This window comes from Homo sapiens, chromosome 8 (assembly GCF_000001405.40).
Source record: "Homo sapiens chromosome 8, GRCh38.p14 Primary Assembly".
Taxonomy (NCBI): domain Eukaryota; kingdom Metazoa; phylum Chordata; class Mammalia; order Primates; family Hominidae; genus Homo; species Homo sapiens.
This window is the reverse complement of record NC_000008.11, coordinates 38,741,302-38,765,332: the sequence shown is the minus strand read 5'-3', so window position 1 is coordinate 38,765,332 and position 24,031 is coordinate 38,741,302. Positions and strand designations below refer to the sequence as shown.

The following is a 24,031-nucleotide window of genomic DNA, read 5'->3' as shown; positions in this document are numbered from 1 at the left end:
GGAGGGGAGGGACAGGTATGTACTCCATACCAAGTTCCAATAATCTGAGGATTTTCTCATAATCAAGTGCCCAATACATGTGTGCTTGGAGGAGGAAGAAACTCTTGTTGGCCTAGACCAAGAGGAGGTTTAATGAGGCAGAAATAAAATTACACATTAAAAAAAAAAAGAAACAAAGCCATCAAGAGTTAAACAGAAAGAAAGAGAGGTTATGATACGGAATTTTTTTTTTTTGAGACGGAGTTTCACTTTGTCAACCAGGCTAGAGTGTAGTGGTGTGATCTCGGCTTACTGCAACCTCCATCCCCCCGGTTCAAGCGATTATCCTGCCTCAGCCTCTTGAGTAGCTGGGATTATAGGCTCCTGCCACCATGCCTGGCTAATTTTTGTATTTTTAGTACAGACAGGGTTTCGCAACGTCGGCCAGGCTGGTCTCAAACTCCTGACCTCAGGTGATCCACCCGCCTTGGCCTCCCAAAGTGCTGGGATTACAGGTGTTAGCCACCGTGCCCAGCCTGATACTAAATTTTTTAAATGGTATTTCAAAGTTGTTGGCCAGGCTGGTATCAAACCCCTGACCTCAGGTGACCTGCCCTCCTCGGCCTCCCAAAGTGCTAGGATTACAGGCATGAGCCACTGCGCACGGCCAAGACCTTAGCATTTTCCTAGCACGTGGTAAGTGCTCAATAAATGCTAGCTGGCCTCACCATATAAAGATAAAGAACTCTTACAAATAAATATGGAAAAATTAATATACCAGTCCATAACAGGCAAGGAGAAATAACAAGAAATTAAGGAATTCAAAATGGCTAATAAACATAACATTCTCTTACTAATGAATTAAACATAACCCTTACTAATGAATTAAAAAATTAAAACAGGATTGCTTTTTTTTTTTTTTTTTTTACCAAATTGATTTAAAATGATAGTGCCCAGCATTGAAAAGGATGCTCTGGGCCAGGCGCAGTGGCTCATGCCTGTAATCCCAGCACTTTGGGAGGCTGAGGAGGGTGAATCACCTGAGGTCAGGAGTTCAAGACCAGCCTGGCCAACTTGGTGAAACCCTGTCTCTACTAAAAATACAAAAATTAGCTGGGCATGGTGGTGGGCGCCTGTAATCCCAGCTACTCAGGAGGCTGAGGCAGGAGAATTGCTTGAACCAGGAAGGTGGAGGTTGCAGTGAGCTGAGATTGCACCATTGCACTCCAGCCTGGGTGACAGAGTGAGATTCAGTCTCAAAAAAGAAAAGAAAAGGATGCTGAGCAGTCACTGTCATGAAGTGTTGGGAGGATTCTAACTTGGTATTAATTGTGGGGAGGAGGGAAATTTGGCAATATATAGTAATATGTAGCAACTTTTAGAATCTTGCTATACATTATTTGACCCTGTAATTGAAGTTCTAGGAATGTATCCTAAGTTATTACTCAGAAATGTACAAAGAATTACAAGGATGTTTATTAACTGTGTTGTTTATATGAGCAAAAATGATAACCAACCTAAATATCAAACATGTAGAAAAAAATGAATTATGGTATATACAGATAATGAACCATTAAGCAAGCATTAAAACAATATTTTTGAATTCAGTAAAGTAATATAGAGAAATGTTTATAATGTTAAGTAAAACATGAGAATACAGAAGACATAGCAGAACCCCATTTTTGAAAAATATACTTGGTGGACAAAAAGAGACTATAAAAAATGTCCCAGCATGTTAACAATTATCTCCAGATGATGAGATTATGGGTAGTTTATTTTCTTTACAATTGTGATATTGTAAATACTGTATTTGGTTTCTGACTCCATTTCCTGGCATGCAACTCCTAAAATCCTTAGATCTCCAAAGTGATGTCTTGTTTATGCTAAAACAAAATGAGGCCGGGCATGGTGGCTCACACCTGTAATCTTAGCACTCTGGGAGGCTGAGGGGGGAGAATTATTTGAGGCCGGGAGTTTGAGACTATATCCTGGGCAATATAGCAAGAGCCCCATTTCCACAATTTTTTTTTTTAAACAAATAGCTAGGGATGTTGGTGTGCACCTGTGGTCCAGCTACTCGAGAGGCTATGGTGTGAGGATTGTTTCAGCCCAGGAGTTCAAGGCTTCAGTGTGCTATGTTTGTGCCACTGTATTCCAGCCTGGGTGACAGAGCTAGACTCTTGTCTAAAACAACAACAACAACAACAACAACAAATGAGATACCACTTCGCACCCATTGGGATGCCTATTTAAAAACAACAACAGAAAATAACAAGTGTTAGAATGTGAAAAAATTAGAGCCCTCATGCATTTGTTGGTGGGAATGACAAATGGTGCAGCCACTATGGAAGACAGTTTTGTGGTTCCTCAAAAAGTGAAGTGGGTTATCACATGATCCAGCAATCCAGCTCCTAGGTTTATACTCCAAAGAGCTGCAAGCAGGGACTCACACGTACTTGTATAACGATGCTTAAAGCAGAATTGCTCACAAGAGCCAAAAGGTGGGGCCGGGCTCATGCCTGTAATCCCAGCACTTTGGGAGGCCGAGGCGGGTGGATCACCTCAGGTCAGGAGTTTGAGATCAGCCTGGCCAACATGGCAAAACTTTGACTCTGCTAAAAATAAAAAATTTAGCCGGGCCTGGTGACGCATGCCTGTAATCTCAGCTACTAGGGAGGCTGAGGCAGAAGAATCGCTTGAATTTGGGAGGTGGAGGTTGCAATGAGCCAAGATCACGCCACTGTACTCCAGCATCAGTGGCAGAGTGAGACTCTGTCCCCCCAAAAAAAACAAAAAAAAAAGCCAAAAGGTGGAGACAACTCAAGTATTCACTCACAGATGAATGAATAAACAAAATGTGGTATATATACACAATGGAATACTGTTCAGCCATAAAGAAATTCTGATACATGCTACGACATGGACACACCTTGAGGACATTATGCTAAGGGAAATAAACCAGTCATGAAAAGACAAATACTGTACATTTCCACTTACATGAGGTACCTACAGTAGTCAAATGTGTAGAGACGGAAAATAGGATGGTGGGTGCCGGGGGCTGGGGGAAGGAGGAGTGAAAAGTTATTGTTTAATGGGTACAGAATTTCTGTTTGGGATGCTGAAAAAGTTCTGGAAATGGGTGGTGGTGATGGTTGTCCAATGTACTTAATGCCACGGAGTTGTATACTTAAAAACTGTGCCTGAATTCCCTCAGAGTTGCACTCTTGATAGAGTATCTATCTTACTTTTTAATGCTTTGCAGAGAGGGATTTTTCTTCCCATTATTAACTCTTTTTTCTATTTCAACTACCCTCATAGTCTAGAAGTTGCAATATCTAAATTCAGTAGATACAAATAATTCCCTTGTCATGCAATTCAAATCATTTCCTTCGGGATTGGCTTCACGGGAGATAGAGCCAGCCAACATCTCCTAAAAATTACATATTTCCACATGTCTTGGGTCCCTTCTCCAAGTTAAATACTATAATTCTTTTACCTTTTCATCACAGGGCTGGTTGCTCTGGGTCTTCTCCACAAACTTGCTCTAAATCTCTCTCTTAATTTTATACTAAGACATTTTCACATGGACATTTAAAAAACTTCTATAGCAAATGGGAACTGACATGCTTTTAATGACAACAAATATTTTGTGTTGAGAAGGTGGTAAACAATATTATAAATTTGAAAGCAATGAATTTACAAATGTTGCTCCCTAAGTTTAGTTATTTTAATTCATGTTTTCTTGTGTCTAAAACCTCCAAGCCAGCACCTCCCTCTTGGTGTCAGGGACATGTGTCCCACAGTGATGTGCTCATTAAAAGGCACTTCACCCTAGCTGTTGCTGACTTTGCAGTTCACTAGAATATCACATAGCCAGCACCTAATTGATCAGAAATTCACATGGCAAAATCAATGAAGACGTCAGAAACTCCTCCTGACTTTGCTACTGACCTTATGCTAAATTCCAAATGCAAACGATTGGTCTGGAAACTTAACTAGTAAGAATTGACAACAGGTGTAGATCTTACATTCCAGGCAGAGAAGCTAAACAACAAACACCAGATGATATTCCCCAATGAATCACAGGTTCTGCTTTGTCTCATACTTCAAATCTCTCCACAAATTCCCCACTACTCGTAGAAAACCTACCTTGGCCACATCGCCAAAAATACACAACTAAGGAATGAGTGATTTCAAACATTTCATCAAACTATCATATTCCCAAATGCATTTCCATCCTCTTGGTAGTACAACTTTCTGGAAAATGGAAGTGAAAAATGAGGAAAAAATTAACTCAAAAAAGTTATTGCCTTGCTTTTCTCAGAGGCCTTGTAGAATTAGCACACAAATCAAACTTCCCTGCAGAAGAGACCCTGCCTTACTCATGAATATACCTTCCAAAGAGCCCAGCATGGCATCTGGTTCATGGGTACATACATGTGCAAATGTGTTCATAATAACTACGTATTGCACACTCACTAAGTGCTGGCCATTGTGTTACTAATATACACCACTTCAAAAATTAGGTCTGAGGCCAGGCGCAGTGGCTCACGCCTGTAATCCCAGCACTTTGGGAGGGTGAGGTGGGTGGATCATTTGAGGTCAGGAGTTCGAGACCAGCCTGGCCAACATGGCAAAATCCCATCTCTACTAAAAATAAAAACTAGCCGGGCATGGTGGTATGCGCCTGTAATCCTAGCTACTCAGGAGGCTGAGGCAGGAGACTCACTTGAACCTGAAGGTTGCAGTGAGCCGAGATGTGCCACTGCACTCCAGCCTGGGCAACAGAGTGAGACTCCATCTCAAAAAAAAAACAATTAGGTCTGATTATTATTGCCATTTTACAGATGCAGAAATTTGCCTAACTGAAGAGTTAAATAACTGTATTTCCAATGTTTCCTAAACTAACCTCCTAAGTGATCTAGCTGGGATTACAACCCAGGTCTGCCTGACTCCACAATTTCTGCTCTTAATCACCTTCCTGTACGGCCTCCTTGAATAAATGAAGTGAAATTTCCACTAGCTTTTACCAAAGCTGGCTCATTGGCTTCTTGGGTTTGGAGAAGGTTAGCAGCTACAATTCTCAATAATAATGAATTGTATCTTAAAATCAGACATTTCTTTTCATGTACATCTATGCTTGTTTATATTTCACAATAGAGCTCTTGTAAGAGAGATTTAATCTAGTTACTTTTAGTACCTGATTAGATTATTCTGAAATACAAATTGTGAACATTGTGAAACATACTTTCTCCCTCAAAAGACAAATGCCAGCATTGATGTATTATTCATATGACTTTCATGTATTTTTTTTTTTTAAAAAAAGAACAATAGATTTTGAAAAGGCTACAGCCTCAGTAGGAGAACTTCCTTGAGGTCAGCGTTATCCATGACAGCCATATGTTCGGCAGGAAGTCTGTAGCCGGGTAACATTAACAATGAACCTCCTACTTTCTTGTATCCTGGAGAGACTTGTCGCTTGTACATCTGAACAAGGCAGAACTTGGATAAAAAGCATCCTTTTTGCTTTTCATGTATATTACAGTTTGGAATCTTGCATTTCTAGAGTCTTTCACCTGGACATGCCAAATGATTTGTGAGGCTGCCTCACTGAGCAGAGTCTACACATACAGATGAGGCCAGTAATCCCAGTACTGACTGCATGTGTTTATGTGCTTCATGTATTCACTTGAGTAGGGAGGGACTGTATTCCTAGGCAAAGACCAAGGATGGGCTTTCATGTTGATTGCTTTTAGGCAAGCATTGTAAAATATTCAAGGTGCATGCAGAGCCTCAATGAAGAGAGAGATCCTTTATGCATGTTTATATTATACGGGTAAAACAAGTAGGCTGCCAAGCCACTGGATAATTTAACACCCTAACAACTGAACCCTACCTCACATCCTGAGTTCATTTCTTCAGCATACAGTCAGTGAAAGACTCCATTATTTACTTTCAAGTTACACAGTAAACTTGGCCACACATTTACAAAAAATAGTCAACTTTCATCCTCAGCTAAAATAGTATATTGCTCAGAGATAAACTATAACTTATTATTCATATATACTGATTTTATGTCAACCTCAGAATAGCCTGTGAAGTAGATATTGTTATCATTCCTGTTTCACACATAAGGAAACAGACACAGAGGAGTTAAGGAACAGATAAAAGATCTCCAGCATTAAGGAGCAGCACCTAGAAATTCAACCCATGGCTCTTTGCCTCCCAAACTCTTAACTTCATCTCAATGTTATATTGCCTCTCCTGTTTGTTTTTTGAAAGTTAAATCGACTTTGGCAATTTTGTCTAATTAGCTATTAAGCATTGCTATTGCAGATTTACTCCTTATTCAAACAAAATTAAAGGAAAAAGGATGGTGTGCTCTGCCAGTTGAGACAAGTTTTGATTGTTTCCTAGGATAGTTCCAACTCTTGGGTGGGAGGCGGCTGCGGCATGAGCTCTGGGGTCCACCACTTTCTAGCTGTGTGACCTTGGAGAGGTTACTTGATCGTTCTGTGCTTCAGTTCCCTCACCAGTAAAATGAAGACAGTAACAAGAACTATAGTAATTCAATGGCTCTTGGGGGTTAAATAACATGTGGGGCATTTAGAAGTGTTTTGCACATGTCATGTGCTCAGTAAATCTCAGCTTTTTTTTTTTTTTTTTTTTTTTTTTGAGATGGAGTCTCCCTCTGTCGCCCAGGCTGGAGTGCAGTGGCCCGATCTTGGCTCACCACAACCTCCGCCTTCTGGGTTCAAGTGATTCTCCTGCCTCAGCCTCCCAAGTAGCTGGAACTACAGGCTCGCACCGCCATGCTAGGCTAATTTTTGTATTTTTAGTAGAGACGGGGTTTCACCATGTTGGTCAAGCTGGTCTACGAACTCCTGACCTCAGGGGATCTGCCCCCCTCGGCCTCCCAAAGTGCTGGGATTACAGGCGTGAGCCAACCACGCCCGGCGTCAGCTATTCTTATTAATAAGCTGCCTGAAGTAAGTTTATATTTGTGAACATCGGTAACATTAGGGACAAAATTAGCCATTTGGATATTCCGAAAGCTATTTTGCCTTGAAAAGATGATTCAAAAGCCCTCCCGCGGTCCAGGCTGCTTTTGTGATGGTTAAGTGTATCTTTCTCAAACTAAATAGCTTCGACATGGGCTGAATTAAAATAAAGAGTATGGATTCCCTGACACTGCTGCAATTCCAAAACACGCATGCATTCCAATAAATAAATAAATAAATATTTAAAGACTATTTGGTTTCCAAATAAATTGTTATCCCCTCTCTGTCAATAAGCATTGGCCATCTTTCAAACCGTAGGACTTGCTCCTAATCACTTTCTCTAAAACTTTCCCTTCACAGCTTTCATTACAGTACTTGGTGTCCCCAATTGTTGCTGTCCCAGAACAAAAGCCTAATTGCTGCTGCTACAATACTGCCCTTTTTTTCTGAGATCATCATGAAACCCTTGGAGCAAACAAGAGAGGGAGTTCTTGCAAGCAGCAAGCACTGCGTCAAAATTCCTGGACCCCGAGGGCCAACGCCAATTGCGTTTTGAGACTTGAGTGCCTCTCTCATAGTTTCACCTCCCTACAAATAACTCTGTCTTGTGAATGTTTCAGAGCTCTTTAGGACACGTGCGTTTTCTGCTTGGACGAGGCCGGGGTCCCCTTGTCTCCCCAGTACAGCGTGTACTGGGGCAGGACCACGGTCACGCCCGGACGCGATCCGGTCGCGGTGGGGTCCTGGCAGGACGCTCCCAGCCGGACGCCCCTGGGGCCCTGCTGGCCAAACTCTCGTGCCCCGCTGCCGAGCGCTCGTGCCCCGCTGCCGCCAGCGGGAACCCCACCTTCCCAGCCTTTCTGGGACGGGCCCCAGCGCGCTCCATCCCGGGCTGGCACGCAAACCCCCAAAGGCGGCCCTTGGAGAGGGCTCTGGGACTCACGCGGTCTCCGTGGGTCTCGGGTGCCTCTCCCCGGCGGGTTCCCGGCCCCTCGGGGTCTGAGAGTGGGAGCCTCCCATGGCGCAGAACTTGGGGCCGGGGCTGCACCCTCCTGTGCTGGGCGGCGGGCGGCTGTGCCCAGACCCTGGGCGGGGAGGCGGTGGGGCGGGAGGAAGGGTGGGGCGAGGGAGGGCGGGGTGGGGCGCCCGGCCGTAGGGTCCCCGCCGCTGGGAAAGCGGGGAAGGAGGTGGCTTCAGATGCCGCCAACTTCTCCGCGGATTGCAGGGCCCCGCGGGTGCTGCCGCCTGGAGATGCGGAGCCCCTGGGGCGTGCGGGGCTGCGGGGAGCCCGGGCAGCGGCGCCTCCTCGCCCGGCAAGGAAACTCCTAGGTGGCACGGGGCAGCAGGTGGAGGGCGCTAGGCCTGCGGGCGCCCCCGGGACTCCGCGATCCGCGGACGTCGCCCTCTCCGCCCGCTGGGTCCGGGGCTGGAAGGGAAGCCGCGGGAAGAGGCCCCGGGAGCTGCTGTTCAGAGAAGCAGCAGGAGGGGGCGGTGTGTGACGGGGTCAGGGGACCCAGGCGGCCCTGCAAAGGGCATGCTCTTTCCCCTAAACCGCTTCTGCCTCCTGAGACTAGGGGAGGCCTGGACTGCGCTGCACAGAAAACTGGGCTCTGGTTATGCCTCCAACTAGCTGAGTAACTTGGAACAAGTTATTTCACCCTCTCTGAGTCTTGTTTTCTTTATCCATAAAACAAGGGAGTATGTTCATCTTTAGCTTTTAATGTCCCTTTAGGCTCTGACAACCAGGCAATGAATTTTCCTCCAAACTCTGTCGCAAGGAAAAAACAAACAAACAAACAAACACCTATCCCTATCATCTCATCTGCGATCCAGCTACACCTAGCAACTCCCTTTAGAGCATCTCTCATGCCCTTCCTCACCCATTCCTGCCTCCCACCCACCTCCTCTCCAGCCACCTGTCCTTATTCTAGCGCTTTTTCCAGCAGACTGGAATCCTTCTCCAAACCTCCCTTCTATGACACCATCCTGCATCTTGATGTTACATCTTCTTTGTTACTGCCTGTCTCCCTTGCTAGAACATAAGCTCCATGAAGACAGGGAATCTGTTTCGATTTCACTGTTCCTCCAACATGCTTGGCACACAGTGGGCGCTCACAATTGGTGATGGATGCAGGCATCCTACACCCATGTTATCGCTGTCCTTCCCAGGGCTCCTATAGCACTTGTTAACTCTGCTAACGAAGCATTTACCAATCTTATTTTATAATTCTCTCTTCCCGGCCGGGCGCGGTGGCTCACACCTGTAATCCCAGCACTTTGGGAGGCCTAGGGGGTGGATTACCTGAGGTCAGGAGTTAGAGACCAGCCTGACTAACATGGTGAAACCCCGTCTCTACTAAAAATACAAAAATTAGCCGGGCATGGTGGCACACGCCTGTAATCCCAGCTACTTAGGAGGCTGAGGCAGGAGAATCGCTTGAACCCAGGAAGTGGAGGTTGCAGTGAGCCGAGATCGCGCCACTGCACTCCAGCCTGGGCAACAAGAGCACAACTTCATCTCTAATAATAATAATAATAATGATCTCTTCACTTGTCTATCTTTCACTAGAATATAAGTTCTTTAAAGGCAGGAACACTCTGTTGTTGTTGTTGTTGTTGTTGTTGTTGTTGTTGTTGTTGTTGTTTTGAAAGACCGTGTCTCTTTCTGTTGCCCAGGCTGGAGTGCCGTGGTGCGATCAAAGCTCACTGGAGCCTTGAACTCCTGGGCTCAAGCAGCCCTCTTGCCTCAGCCTTTTCAGCAGCTGGGACCACAGGTGAATGCCACCACACCCAGCTAATTTTCTTTTTTTTTGGTAGAGATGGGGTCTCACTATGTTGCCCAGGCTGGTCTCAAACTCCTAGCCTCAAGTGATCCTCCTGCTTTGACCTCCCAAAGCACTGGGACTACAGGTGTAAGCCACCACACCCAGCTGGGAATGCTCCTTTTCTCTGTATTCTAGCTTAGTGCCCAGCACAGTGCCTGGTTCTTGTTTTATATACAATAACTATTTGCTGAATGAATGAAAGAGCCAGTGGTGAAGCACACAGAATTGTTTTCAACATTAACTTCATTCTTGAAGCTGTAGGGGAATAAAGATATATGTGACTACATTTTAGTTGTTCCAGAAAGAATCAGAAAACGCATAATGGAGATTTACATTGACAACAGATCTTTTTTTTTTTTTTTTTTTTTGAGATGGAGTCTCGCTCTGTTGCCCAGGCTGGAGTGCAGTGGCACTATCTTGTCTCACCACAACCTCTGCCTCCCGGGTTCAAATGATTCTCCTGCCTCAGCCTCCCGAGTAGCTGTGACTACAGGCGCGCACCATCACGCCTGGCTATTTTTTGTATTTTTAATAGAGACAGGGTTTCACTATGTTGGCCAGGCTGTATTGAACTCCTGTCCTTGTGATCCGCCTGCCTCGGCCTCCCGAAGTGCTGGGATTACAGGCGTGAGCCACTGTGCCCGGCCAGATCTCTCTTTTATGTAGCAGACTTCGACTACCTCTTTATAAATTATCTTTAGTCTACTTAGCCAGAAAGTTCCCAGGGTCCAGAATGTTGACACATGGTAGACATAAACAGTATTTTGAAGTGGGAAAATAAACAATTAGTAAAAGTATACTGAGGCTGGAATTGAGATTCTTTTATGAAGAATTTCAAATAGCTAAAGAAAAGTTGACTCTTGGCAGATAATTTTCTTTTAAGAGACAGGGTCTTGCTCTGTGCAGTGGCATGATCATAGCTTGCTGCAGCCTTGAACTCCTGAGATAATTTTTCTTTTAAGTTCAAGTTCCTCCCACAGTCTGTTTGGAACACTATGGCAATGTGATTGAAGTGTCATTGATAATGCAAACATAACCCTGTCAGAGCTGCGGTTCCCTTCAGAGGAACGCTCAGCCTCTGCTGGTGAGAAAGGTCTTTATTCCCAGTCGGTTATTCTGAGGGAAGACAGGAGCGGGAGAGGCAGGAGAAAAGGGTGAGAATGGGAAAGTTTTCCTTCTCTGGTAGACAGGACGGGCTGCCGGGAAGAATCTTACTACTATTAGTGCAGAAAGGCACAGGGTGGGGCCACTAAAATGGTTGAAAGTAAAGGAAAAAGGCCGGGCGCGGTGGCTCACACCTGTAATCCCAGCACTTTGGGAGGCTGAGGCAGGTGGCACTTGAGTTCAGGAGTTTGAGACCAGCCTGGCCAACATGGCGAAACCTGTCTCTACCAAAAATTTAAAAAATTAGCCAAGTGTGGTGGTGCGTGCCTGTAATTCCAGCTACTTGGGAAGCTGAGACATGAAAATCGCTTGAACCCGGGAGGCAGAGGTTGCAATGAACGGAGATCGTGCCACTGCACTCCAGCCTGGGCGACAGAGCAAGACTCTGCCTCAAAAAAAAAAACCCAAAAAATGAAAGAGAGAGAGAGAAAGAAGAAAGAAAGAAAGAAAGAAAGAAAAAGAAAAAGAGGAAAGAGTGAAGCCTACACCCTCTTGTGTTGCAGAGAAATTGAGACAAGGGGAAAAGGAACTCTGTAAAATAATGTAAAAGATTTAACATATGGGACCCAAAGGGCATCTCTGCAAAGATGCTTGTGTGTTGGCTGGTTTTGCTTTATGTTGTTTACTGGGTTTGCTGCCCTGACTGGCATGGCAGCTGGGGCTTTGGGCCAGGCTGAGTGGACACAGTGAAGGGAAGTGTTGTCTTTGTGAAGTAAACTTATGAGGGCTTTTAGGGAAAAATGTCCAAGACAGACCAGAGATCCCCAGACACATCTTACCCCACAACATATAATGCTTTGTCCCTCTCATGGAAGCAGAACCAAGATCTGTTTCTCCATCTCAGAGCCTGGCTGCAGATCTCCAAGAAAGGCATAGACTGTGGGATGTCTGCAGTTCCTCTGATTAATGTCACTGGGTTTAAACTCTTTCTTGCTTTTTGTATTTCAGTTAAGAACAAAAGGCTGGACATGGTGGCTCACACCTGTAATTTCAGCCCTTCGGTAGGCCAAGAGGGGAGGATCTCTTGAGCCCAGAAGTTTGAGACCAGCCTGGGCAACATAGAGAGTCCCCTGTCTCTACAAAAAATAAAAAATAAATTGGCTGAGCATGGTGGGGCTCACCTGCAGTCACAGATACTCAGGAGCGTGAAGTAGGAGGATCACTGGAGCCCAGGAAATCAAAGCTGCAATGAGCTGTGATCACACCACTGCACTGCAGCCTGGGCGACACAGCGATAGTCTGTCTCCAAAAAACAAAGCAAAACAAAACACAACACTTCAGCATCCCTAATGATGATATGAATAGTTATTATGCAATCACAATTTATGCTCTGATGAAAGTTATTAAAGAAATGGAAACATGTCCTCTCCCTTGGTGTGGTTCTAAAATGGTACACTCAGAGGCCAGCTGTAAGTTATGGGCAACCCTGCTGTTGTCTGTCCCCAGTGACTGAGAAATTTCGTAATGCCAATTCTGGGGCTCAGAATCGTTCACAGAACTGAGTTTTCCTTCAAGCAGAGGGCAGGAGGATCATAGTTGGACACTACTTGGTATTGCATTTGATACAGAACATAGAGAGAATAAAATCTACTATTTTTTGGTGCCCTGTAATTTATGCCTGCCTGTGACACAAGAAGGAGGAGGAGGAGAATGAAAAGAGAGGGAAGGAGGCAGCCCTTATTTGTTAGTCTCTGGGTCAGTGGGCTGCTGAATACAATGACCAGCTGGAGCCAAAGAGGACACATGGCCTGTGATGGAGTCCAAGTGGGGTAGAATTTCATGTCCGTGGTTAAGGTTTCCACTCGCACATAACAATTCGGTCAAGAAGGTTTTTTTTGTTGTTTTTTGGTTTTGGGGTTTTTGGGGTTTTGTTTTTGTTTTTATTTTTGTTTTGAGACAGAGTCTCGCTCTGTCGCCCAGGCTGGAGTGCAGTGGTGCAATCTGTGCTCACTGCAACCTCCGCCTCCTGGGTTCAAGCAATTCTCCTCCCTCAGCCTCCCGAGTAGCTGCGACTACAGGCACACGCCACCACATCTGGCTAATTTTTTTGTATTTTAGTAGAGACGGGGTCTCACTGTGTTTCCCAGGCTGGTTGTGAACTCCTGAGCTCAGGCAATCTGCCTGCCTCAGCCTGTCAGGTGCTGGGATTACAGGCATGAGCCACAGTGCCTGGCCAAGAAGGTATTCTTTAAACATTGGAAAAATAGCAAGGAAAGAAAATTTAAGCTGTTGAAACTCAAGATTGCCTATAAGATTGCGAAATACATCCTTCAGTGTCAAACGCTACCCCCAGAATGCTACTTATGCTCTGCAGAGGGATGGGCACTAACATTTGTTGGATACTAGGAACTACGCTTGGTGGTTAACGAAAGTAACCACATTCGGGCCTCATAGCACCAGGAAAAAAATAACAGTGGGTAATACTTATAGAGCACTTTTTATGTGCTCAGATTCTGTTCTAAGTGCTTTAGATTTATTAACTCATTTACTGTTCACCACAACCCTATGGCTAGGCACTTTTAGTATTCTCGTTTACAGGCATACCTCAGAAATATTGCAGGTTCCATTGCACACCACTGCAATAAAGTGAATATTGCAATATAGCGAATCACACAAAATTTTTGGTTTCTCGGTGCATATAAAAGTTATGTTTACACTATATGATAGTCTGTTAAGTGTGCAATAGCATTATGTCCAAAAAATGTACATTCCTTGATTTAAAAAATACTTTATTGCTAAAAAATGCTGACACAGAGACATGAAGTGAGTACATGCTGTTAGAAAAATGGCACCAATAGACTTATCCCACACAAGGTTGCCAAAAACTTTCAATTTGTAAGAAATGCAATATATGTGAAGTGCAATAAAGTGAAATGCAATAAAACGAGCAGTGCTTGTACAAATGAGCAAGATGAAGCAAAGTAAGGTTAAACATACCCAAGGCCACATAGCTAGAAAATGGCCAAGCTAGATTCAAACCTGGGTAAGATAGCTCCAGTGCTATAGCACACGGCTTAGCCTCTATACTTTACTGCCTTAATCCTTACACTGCACATCCCATTTTAAGATGAAGATACTCAGTTTTAGAGAGCTGAATGGTGCATCCAATATTTAAATCCAGTTGTCTTGATTACAAACCTTATGTTCAACATGGATTTTTTTTTTCCCTTAGCAATCATCCCAAAGGAGAATTACCCTTCAAATTGGCCACCTTGGGAAGTCACATGCTTATCTCAGAGCTACCCATCTCTCCTCATTTGGAAATTATTTAAATGCCAATTTATAGATCAAAGAATAAAATTGGTTCATTCCTTCAGAGCCACATATTGTTCTTGAAATCAGGTAGCTGAAGTGTTCCAATATTGTTCTCCTCTTTCAAAACGATGTGGCTATACTAGGTCCTTTGACTTCCCATATAAAATTTAAAATACTCTTGCAAATTTTTTTCAAAAAAAAAGTTACGATTTTCGTGGGAATTGCATTGAATTTATTGAATAATTCAAAAAGGATTGCCAGCTTAACAATATTGAGACTTTGAATCCATGAACACGGTATAGCTGTTCATTTATGCAGATCTTCCTGTCATGTTTTATTGTTTTCAGCCTACAGGTCATACATGTCTTTTGCTAAGTATTTTATGCTATTGTAAACAAAGTGTCTTATAACTTAACTTTCTAAATGTTAGTTGCTAGTATGTGAGACAGAATTGATTTTTGTATATTTTATCCTGCAACCTTGAATTGATTTTTGTATATTTTATCCTGCAACCTTGTACCTCTAATAGCTTTTATTGTGGGTTTCTTAGGGTTTTCTATACAATGTCACTTGTAGATAAGGACAATTTTACTTATTTCTTTCTAGCATGTATGCCTTATTTTTCCCTTGCTTTGTTGCACTGACTAGGCACTCCTATACAATTTAAGTTAAATAAAAATGATGAGAGCCAACATCCTTGCCCTCTACCTCGTCTTAGGTAGAAAGCATTGATTTTTCACATTGTAGTAGGATGTTAGCTGACAGATTTTGTAGATGCCCTTAATCAGGTTGAGGAAGTTTTAATTTATTCTTAATTTGCTGAAAGATTTTTTAATGATAAAAAGGAGTTGAATTTTGACAAATGCTATTGCTGCACCTATTGAACTGATCATATTGTTTTCACCTTCTTCCTTTTTTTCTTTAAGAGACAGGATCTTGCTATGTTGCCCAGGCTGGAATGCAGTGGCTATTCACAGGTGCAATGATAGTGCACTATAGCCTTGAACTCCTGGTCTCCAACAAACCTCCTGCCTCAGTCTCCTGAGTGGCTAGGACTAAAAGACCTTTTACCCCCTTCTTATAGGCTTTCAAAATGATAAATTTCCCTCTAAGTACTATGTTAGCTACATTGCACCACTGTGTCTGTGTTTTTGTCTTTATTCTATTAATTTGTTGAATTACATTGATTAACTGTCAGCTGTTAAAACAACTTTGCATTGGCCAGGCGCGGTGGCTTACACCTGTAATCCCAGCACTATGGGAGACTGAGGTGGGTGGATCATGAGGTCAGGCGTTCGAGACCAGCTTGACCAACATGGTGAAACCCTGTCTCTACTAAAAATACAAAAATTAGCCAGGCGTGGTTGTGCGTGCCTGTAATCCCAGCTACTCAGGAGGCTGAGGCAGGAGAATCGCTTGAACCTGGGAGGCAGAGGTTACAGTGAGCTGAGATCACACCACTGCACTCCAGCCTGGGCGACAGACTGAGACTCCATCTCAAAAAAAACCCAAAAAACAAAACAAACAAAAAAAAACTTTGCATTGCCCCTTGATCATAGTGTATAACCTTTTTTATGCTGCTGGATTTGGCTTGCTAATATTTTGTTGAGGATTTTTGCATTTATATTCATGAGGGATATTGGACTGTAGTTTTTTTCTTAAGATGTCTTCATCTGGCTGTAGAATTAGAATAATACTGCATCATAAAATCATGCCTCCTCCTTTATTTTCTTAAACAGTTTTTGTAGGATTGGTATTATTTTTTCATAAATGTTTGTCAGAATTCATCAATGAAGCATCTAAACCCAGAATTCTCTCAGTAAGTTTTTAATTACAAATTCAATATCTTTAATTGATACAGGGCTGTTCAAGCTTTCTATTTCATCTTTGATTAGATTTATAATTTATGTATTTCCCAGAATGTGTTCATTTCATCTGTGACACATTTAATGTCATAAAGTTGTTCATAACAATAGAGAATTGTTATTCTTTTAATATCCAAAGTAATAATGTCCCTTCTCTCATTCTTGATATTGTTCATTTTTTTTTCTTTGCCAGTCAGTCTTGAGATTTATCAATTTTATTAGTTTTTTCAAAGGACTGCTTTTTGCTTTTAATGATTTTTTTATCTCTTTTTTTCGTTCTCTAATTCATTGATGTCTGTCATTATCTTTATTATTTTCTTCCTCTGCTTGCTTTGAGTTCAATTTACTCTTTTTTTTCTATTTTTTAACAGTGAAAATTAAGATCATTGATTTAAGAACTTTCCCCACTTCGTATAGGCTTTCAAAACTGTAAATTTCCCTCAAAGTGCTATGTTAGCTACATTGCACAAATTTTGAAATGTGTATTTATATTATCATCAGGGCAAAATATTTTCAATCTCTCTTGTGATTTAGTCTTTAGCCCAATAAATATTTAGAAGTGTGTTGCTTAGTTTCCAAATGCTTGGGGTTTTCCTAGTTATCTTATTGTTTTTGGTTTCCAATTTAATTTCATTGTGGTCAGAGAACAAACTATTTGATTTCAACCTTTTTAATATTTATTAAAACTTTTTTATGGTCCAGAATGTGGTCTATCTTGGTAAGCATTCCATGTGCACTTGAAAAGAATGTGCATTTTGCTATTGCTGAGTGAAATGTTCTAAAAATATTAATTAGGTCAAAGTGACTGATAATGTTGTTCAGGTTTTCTGTCTGCTGATTTTTTGTTGGTTACTCTATCAACTTCTGAGAGACATTAAAATTTCCAATTATAATTGCCTATTTCTTCCTTTCATTCTATCAGTTTTTGCCTTATGTAATTTGAGACTATTATTAGGCACAAATAAATTTGTAAATTTTATGTCATCTTGATCAATTATTCCTTTTCTTCTTCTAAAGTGCCCTTCTTTATCTTTTATGATACTTTTTTTTAGAAATCTATTTTTATTTGATACTAATGTAGCCACTCCAGCTTTCTTGTGCTTACTATTTACATGATATATCTTTTTCTATCCATCTATATTTGGTTTCCTTCTGTCTTTATATTGAAAGTATGTCTTTGCACATAGTTTATATTTAGGTTTTTAAAAAATGGATTTTATTTTTTTAGAGCAGTTTTAGATTCACAGCTAAATTGAGATGAAAGTACAGACAGTTCCCACACACCCCCTACCCCTACACATATGGCCTCCCCACTATCAACATCCCATACCAGAGTGGTGCATTTGCTACAATCAATGAACCTACACTGATGTATCATTATTATCCAAAGTCCGTAGTTTACATTAGAGTTTGCTCTTGGTATTATACATTCTATGAGTTTTGACAAATGTCTAATGTATTTATGTACATATAGCCACCATGACAGTATCATATAGAATAGTTACACTCCTTTAAAAATCTTCTATGTTTCATCTATTCATCCTTGCCTCTGCCCAACCCTTGGCAACTACTGATCTTTTTGTCTCCATGGTTTTGCCTTTTCCAGAATGTCGTATAGTTTGACCCATCCAGTACACAGCCCTTTCAAATTGGCTTTTTTCAGTTAGTAATATGCATTTAACATTCCTCCATGTCTTCATGGCTTGACAGCTCATTTCTTTTTAACACTGAATAATATTCCATTGTCTGGATATATCACGGTTTATCCATTTGCCTACTGAAGGACATCTTGATTGCTTCCAGCTTTTGGCAATTATGAATAAAGTTGCTATAAACATCCATGTGCAGGGTTTTGTGTGGACATAAGTTTTCAGCTCATTTGGGTAAATACCCAGGAGTAAGATTGTTGAATCATATGGTAAAAGTATGTTTCGTTTTGCAAGAAACTGTCAAAACTGTCTTTCAAAGTGGCCAAACCATTTTGCATTCCCATCAACAATGAATGACAGTTTCTGTTGTTCCACATCCTTACCAGCATTTGGTGTTGTTAGCATTTTGAATTTTGGCTATTCTAGTAGATGTGTAGTGGTATCTCATTGTTGTTTTAATTTGTAATTACCTAATAACATATACTATTAAACAGCTTTTCAAATTTTTTGGCATCTGTGTATCTTCTTTGGTGAGATGTTATAATTGTTTTTGTATCCATTTAAAAACAATTATTAATCTCTGTCTTTTAATTGGAGTGTTTAGCTCATAAATGTTCAATGTAATTTTTGAAATGGTTGGGTATGAGTCTATCATTTTTGTTTTATTTTGTTTTCTATTTGTCTCCTCTGACATTTGTTTCTTCATTTCTTATTTCCCGCCTTTAAAAATTACTTAATATTTTAAGATATATTCTATTTTAATTTTCCTGATGCTTTACAGCTATTCTGCACTGTTTAATAGTTGATTTATAAATTACAAAATTCAACCTTAACTTTTCATGGCCCATTTACAGTTGATAATGTACTTCTTCATGTAAATTCTACAGCTGAAAAGTATAATTTCTTAAGTAGAAAATTCACCAGATGGAGTTAACAGCCAAGTGGACATGTTAAAGGAAAGAGTAAATTTTAAGACAGATCAATCAAAATTACTCAAAATGAGTAACAGAGTGGAAAAAGACTTAGAACATAATGAACAAAATCTCAGAGACTTGTTAGATGATATCAAACAAACATACATGTAATTGAAATCTCAGAGGGAGAGAAGAAACTCAAGTAGAAAAAATATTTAAAGAAATAATAACCAAACACTTCCCAGCTGTAATGAAAGTCAGAGATTTGCAGATTCAAGATATTAGACAAACACTAAGCAGAAGGGACATAACGAAGTCCACTCCAAGGCACATCTAAGTCAAGCTAATATAAACCTTGAAAGCAGAAAAAGAGCAACCAAAAAAGGGGGCTTTCCATTTGGCTCTTCTTCATTGTATCTATTTCTCTGATGAAATGTCCCATTTCTGTGCTGAGATTTCGATTAATCAAAAACAAGCTTTTTTTCTTAATTTTTAAACTTCATCATAGAGAGCTACAAAACCTCCTAAAACTATAAAATAACATAACACTTTCAAGCCCTTGCCGGCTGGGCAGGAGAGCTTACACCTATAATCCTACCACTTTGGGAGGCCAAGGTGGAAGGATTGCTTGAAGCCAGGAGTTTAAGACCAGCCTAGGCAACATAGCAAGACCCCATGTCTACAAAAAATATTTAAAAATTAACTGAGCATGCTAGCTGAGGCAAAAGGATTGCTTGAGCCCAGGAGTTTAAAGCTGCAGTGAGCTGGGATCGCACCACTACACTCCAGCCTGTGTGACAGAGTGAGACCTCATCTCAACAAAACCCCAGAAAACAAGGCTGGGTGCGGTGGCTCATGCCTGTAATGCCAGCACTTTGGGAGGCCGAGGCAGGTGGATCACCTGAGGTCAGGAGTTTAAGACCAGCCTGACCAATATGGTGAAACCCTGTCTCTACTAAAAACACAAAAATTAGCTGGGTGTGGTGGCGTGCGCCTGTAGTCCCAGCTACTCGGAAGGCTGAGACAGGAGAATTCCTTGAACCCAGGAGGCAGAGGCTGCAGTGAGCCAAGATTGCGCCACTGCACTCCAGCCTGGGCGACAGAGCAAGATTCCATCTCAAAAAACAAAAACAAAAACAAACAAACAAACAGAAAAAAAACAAGAAAACAAAAATTAAAACCCTTGCCTTTTAAGTTTCAATATATTATTCATCTCCAGGTCAGATTTGATTGACTTTTCTCTTAAGACTACGTTCCATTTTCCTGGTTTTTAAATATGTCCCATAATTTGGGTTTCAATCTTGGATATGATGAATGCTAGGTTGTGAAGATTCCAGATTCTGTTCTTTTTCTCTGATGAGTGTTGTTTTTCCTTTGTTTTGCAGGTAATTTTCTTGCTGGGCCTGAACTGCGAGCTCTGTTTCTGGGGAGGCAGCTCTACTCTGAGTGCAGATCTTTGTCTTTAGCTGAGCTGCTTTGAGTGTATTTTGTGTGTATGTGGGTCAGGGGTTGATCAGAGATTTGGCCTGCAGATGCCTTCTTTGACTCTTGCTTTTCTGGATTCCTTCATTTATTTTCAGCATTCATGATCTCCTCACTCCCCAGAATGCATAGCCTACATGCAGCCCCGTGCTAGAAGCCTGGGGCTGAAGGACTTGCTTATTTGGCTCCTCATCTTCTGTTCTCCAAGCCAACATGCAACAGCAGAGGCGATCCACTTATGTCCTCTCTTCAGCTCCTTTAGGCAGTCACTTTGTATATCATGTCCAGATTTTAGAGTTATTTTCTGCAGGAATGGTCATAATACCCAGAATTATCTATAATACCCAGAAGCAGAAGCCCATATATTATTCTTATGGTCATATTCAGTTTTATTACCCGCCCCCACCCCCGGCCGACTACTCATCACAGCTGTCCTGTGTGGACTTGAACTACTTTTAAAATCAAAGAATACCGAAAATAGTTCCTATGGACCCTGATGGGCAATTTTAAGTGATCCAGGCCAAAGGAATTGAGCAATGGGGGCATCATCATGTGGTTGGAATAAGTCTGTCATCTCTCAAAGTGGCAGAAGCTACTATTTCCTAGTATCACTTCTCCCTTTCTCTCTAAGTAAAACAAACAAACAAACAAATAAACAAAACCCAACCCTGATAGCTAGGCACACAGCTATTATGAAGAAAAGCTGCATTTCCCAGTCTCCATGACACCTAAGTTTGGCCAAGTAACTAGGTTCTAGTCAATGGGATGTAAATAGAAGTGTCAGGCTCGGTGCGGTGGCTCCTGCCTGTAATCCCAGCACTTTGGGAGGCTGAGACGGGTGGATCACCTGAGGTCAGGAGTTCGAAACCAGCCTGGCCAAGATGGTGAATCCCCGTCTCTACTAAAAATACAAAAAAAGGAAAAAAGAAAATAGAAGTGTCAAGTTCAACTTCCAGGAAGTGTCATGAATGGGGAGTGCGGAGGTGAGCCCTTTATTGGTCTTTTCTTTTCCCTGCTGGCTGTGATACTGATGGGATCGCTGAATTCAAGCAGCCACATACTATTTTTCAAGACCTGTCGAGTGCATTAGTGAGAAGGGGGATAGAGTAGAATAAGGAGTCTGATCTGTAACTGACTGTGGACAATCAATTGACATAACTCACTACCTTCGGACCAGTCGTCAAGCAGCCATAATTAATCTTGAAGTACAAGCCATGTGCTGAGGTTAAAGGAGCCTGAATCCCTGAAACCATGGAGGCTCTGAACCTGCCCTATCTTGCCCACCCAGAATTCTTTTTTGTTCTGTTTTGTTTTAACAGGGTATCACTCTGTTGCCCAGGCTAGAGTGCAGTGGTGTAATCATAGCTCACTGCAACCTCCAACTCCTGGGCTCAAGTGATCCTCCTGCCTCATCCTCCCAAATAGCTGAGACTACAGGCATGAGCCATTAAGCCTGGCCCAGATTTCTTTTATGGGAGAGAAAAATAAACATATATATCATTTAGTCACTATTATTTTGAGTTTCTATGACACTCAGCCAGATCAAATCCTAATTAATACTCATTATTAAATTGAGGAGAAAAAGAGTACCATTATCTTGTAGTTAAGCCACCTGTACCTGGAAGAACTGTATTTCTTGGCAGCCTTGCCAGCAATCATTTCACCCTACTCTATAGATAAGGAGTGCTCTGTAAACTAGCCCTAACCCTAACACTGCCCAGGCCTAAAGTTCAGCTGCAGCTGAAAATGTCTATAAAACTGCCCCCCAACCATTATCATCAAGCAAATCCATCCCCTGTCCCAAATACATTTCCTCTTGTATTTCTTCTGGCAGAATGTTTCCTTTCTCTTCCTCCTCAAGGCTGCCTGAGTTATTCATTCATTCATTCATTCATTCATTCATTCAACAAATATATACTGAATGCCTACCTTGATGTCTGTCTTACTCTGAATTCATCTTTGCAAAAATGATGGATGAGGTAAGAGTTTTTTGGGGCCTGCTACCAGCCTCAGGATGAACGTCTTGCAAATCTGTACCCTAACCCACCTGACATTATTGTTTTGGCACTGCCTAAACAATGAAAAATAAAAAATAAGAAACTGACTCACAGAACAGAGCTGGAAAGGCCCTCAGAGGCCATGTAGTTCTACCTTCTTTCATTTACACAAGTAAAGAAGTAAGTTGGCTGGGTGCAGTGGCTCACGCCTATAATCCCAGCACTTTGGGAGGTCAAGACAGGTGAATCTCTTGAGGTCAGGAGTTCGAGACCGGCCTGGCCAACATGGTGAGACCCTGTCTCTAGTAAAAATACAAAAATTAGCCAGTTGCGGTGGTGCTCACCTGTAGCCCCAGCTACTCGGGAGGCTGAGGCAGGGGAATTGCTTGAACCTGGGAGACGAAAGTTGCAGTGAGCCGAGATCGTGCCACTGCCCTCCAGCCCGGGTGACAGAGTGAAACTCTGTCTCGAAATAAAATCAAAACAAACAAGCAAAAAAAGAAATAAGTAAATATATTCTATGCAGCAGAAGTACAGACTTGCCCAAGTTATAGTTAGTAGCAAAGCCAGAACCAGGACTCAGCTTGCATCACCACCACCCAGTTCTTTGTTCTTTCCTCGATCATTATTTCCTTCATTCACACTTAATCCAAATACAAAGATTACATATCTGTTATTTTTCACTAGGAAATAAAAATTTTTACTTTAAAATCCATCCCAGGTATATTCAATGTCAAAGAAAAGAATTACCTTTGATGGTTTGTCTTTGCATTTGATCTCAGTGTACTTGGAAGAGTAAACATGCCAGCAATCAAGACCAGGACCTCTCTCTGGCCTTGGAACCCTTGGGACTGGAAGAGAATTAAGTCAGGTGGGAGTCACATGCTTAATCATAAGGTAAGTTTCCAGCACAAGTTTCCAACCTTTTGCCTAAGGCTCACTTTCAGAAATTCCTCTGCAGTTCTACCAGCCACTCTGTGTGTCACCGTTTTCTAACACTTTGTGCTAGCAATGCCAAATTCTGGCAAAAAAAAGTCTTTGTTCCTCCATTTCAAGGTGATGCAACTGTCACCTATAATCAGTAGGTGGTTTCCAGAAGAGAACTCATGCTTCAGACCTGTGACCCTGCTTCCCTGCTGTGGAAACAGCTGCCAAGTGTACAGTGTCAGTCTGTATTTTCAGAGAGAGGAATAAAAGCATTTGTGTTTATAAACTTCTTTTGTTTTGTTCCATTTACTTGTCATTTCTTTTTGTATATAATGGTCCAGGGACAGTGTGCTCTTTCTGAGATTTTTATTGATTTTTTTTTAAACAGGCTATTTTTTATGCCCTGGCCGTATTTCAGTCCCTGGCAGAGATAGAGTCTACCTATAATTCAAACATCTTGGACCCAGTAACCGCAAGTATCTTCTTGGAATATTGACTCTTTGTATTTTTTTGGGTCTCATCTAATTTTGTAGTCGTGAGCTGGTGCAGTGTTTGGGTATTGAAACATGGATTCCAACCCCACAGTCTAGTCTTGGACGGGCAGGGCAGGAAGAGTACATCCACCAATACTTTATTTCCATTCACTAACCCAGCAGGTTCTGGCTTTAGTCATTCCACTGAGAAATGACAAAGCAGACAGAAAAACCAGGAGACTGAAAGAATCCTGAGGGCCAGGGTTCAAGGAAGCTCTTTAATTTGTGAGCCTTTGGAATTAAAATCAGTATTCATGGTTCACTGTGTAAAAATAACAGCATGGGCCAGGCGCGGCGGCTCCTGCCTGTAATCCCAGCACTTTGTGAGGCAGAGGCAGGCATATCACCCGAGGTCAGGAGTTTGAGACCAGCCTGGCCAACATGGTGAAACCCCATCTCTACTACAAATACAAAAAAAATCAGCCAGGCATGGTGGCGGG

The 24,031-nt window shown here is 41.9% G+C and overlaps 1 protein-coding gene across 45 annotated transcripts in view, besides 4 other annotated features; it reads right to left on the bottom strand.

The window, feature by feature from the left end:
- TACC1 (transforming acidic coiled-coil containing protein 1) overlaps nucleotides 1-24,031 on the bottom strand; it is a 124,447-nt gene that overhangs the window by 87,696 nt on the left and 12,720 nt on the right. For 14 of the 45 annotated variants that reach the window (XM_047422138.1, XM_047422139.1, XM_047422143.1 and 11 more), the window contains exon 1: nucleotides 7,924-8,058. The exons of 18 other annotated variants lie outside the window; for them this stretch is intronic. Coding sequence is in view for 15 of the 27 variants with exons in the window: in XM_005273628.2 (XP_005273685.1) it covers nucleotides 7,924-8,000 (77 nt within the window). In the remaining 12 variants the exon portion in view is untranslated. Of the gene's footprint in view, nucleotides 1-7,923; nucleotides 8,059-13,681; nucleotides 20,439-22,881; nucleotides 22,983-24,031 lie in introns of those variants that run through there. 13 more of the 45 variants (XM_047422141.1, XM_047422142.1, XM_047422145.1 and 10 more) reach the window with 4 other exon arrangements.
- Nucleotides 7,700-7,869: a silencer, noted in NCBI's record as "silent region_19135". NCBI's record gives its function as "represses an Ori minimal core promoter by ATAC-STARR-seq in GM12878 lymphoblastoid cells {active_cell/tissue: GM12878}" and the evidence as "EXISTENCE:reporter gene assay evidence [ECO:0000049][PMID:35858748]".
- Nucleotides 7,890-7,939: a silencer, noted in NCBI's record as "silent region_19134". NCBI's record gives its function as "represses an Ori minimal core promoter by ATAC-STARR-seq in GM12878 lymphoblastoid cells {active_cell/tissue: GM12878}" and the evidence as "EXISTENCE:reporter gene assay evidence [ECO:0000049][PMID:35858748]".
- Nucleotides 8,030-8,579: a silencer, noted in NCBI's record as "silent region_19133". NCBI's record gives its function as "represses an Ori minimal core promoter by ATAC-STARR-seq in GM12878 lymphoblastoid cells {active_cell/tissue: GM12878}" and the evidence as "EXISTENCE:reporter gene assay evidence [ECO:0000049][PMID:35858748]".
- Nucleotides 10,708-11,002: a silencer, noted in NCBI's record as "tiled region #10821; HepG2 Repressive DNase matched - State 8:EnhW, and K562 Repressive non-DNase unmatched - State 9:DNaseU". NCBI's record gives its function as "represses a minimal TATA promoter and a strong SV40 promoter by Sharpr-MPRA in HepG2 and K562 cells {active_cell/tissue: HepG2 | K562}" and the evidence as "EXISTENCE:reporter gene assay evidence [ECO:0000049][PMID:27701403]".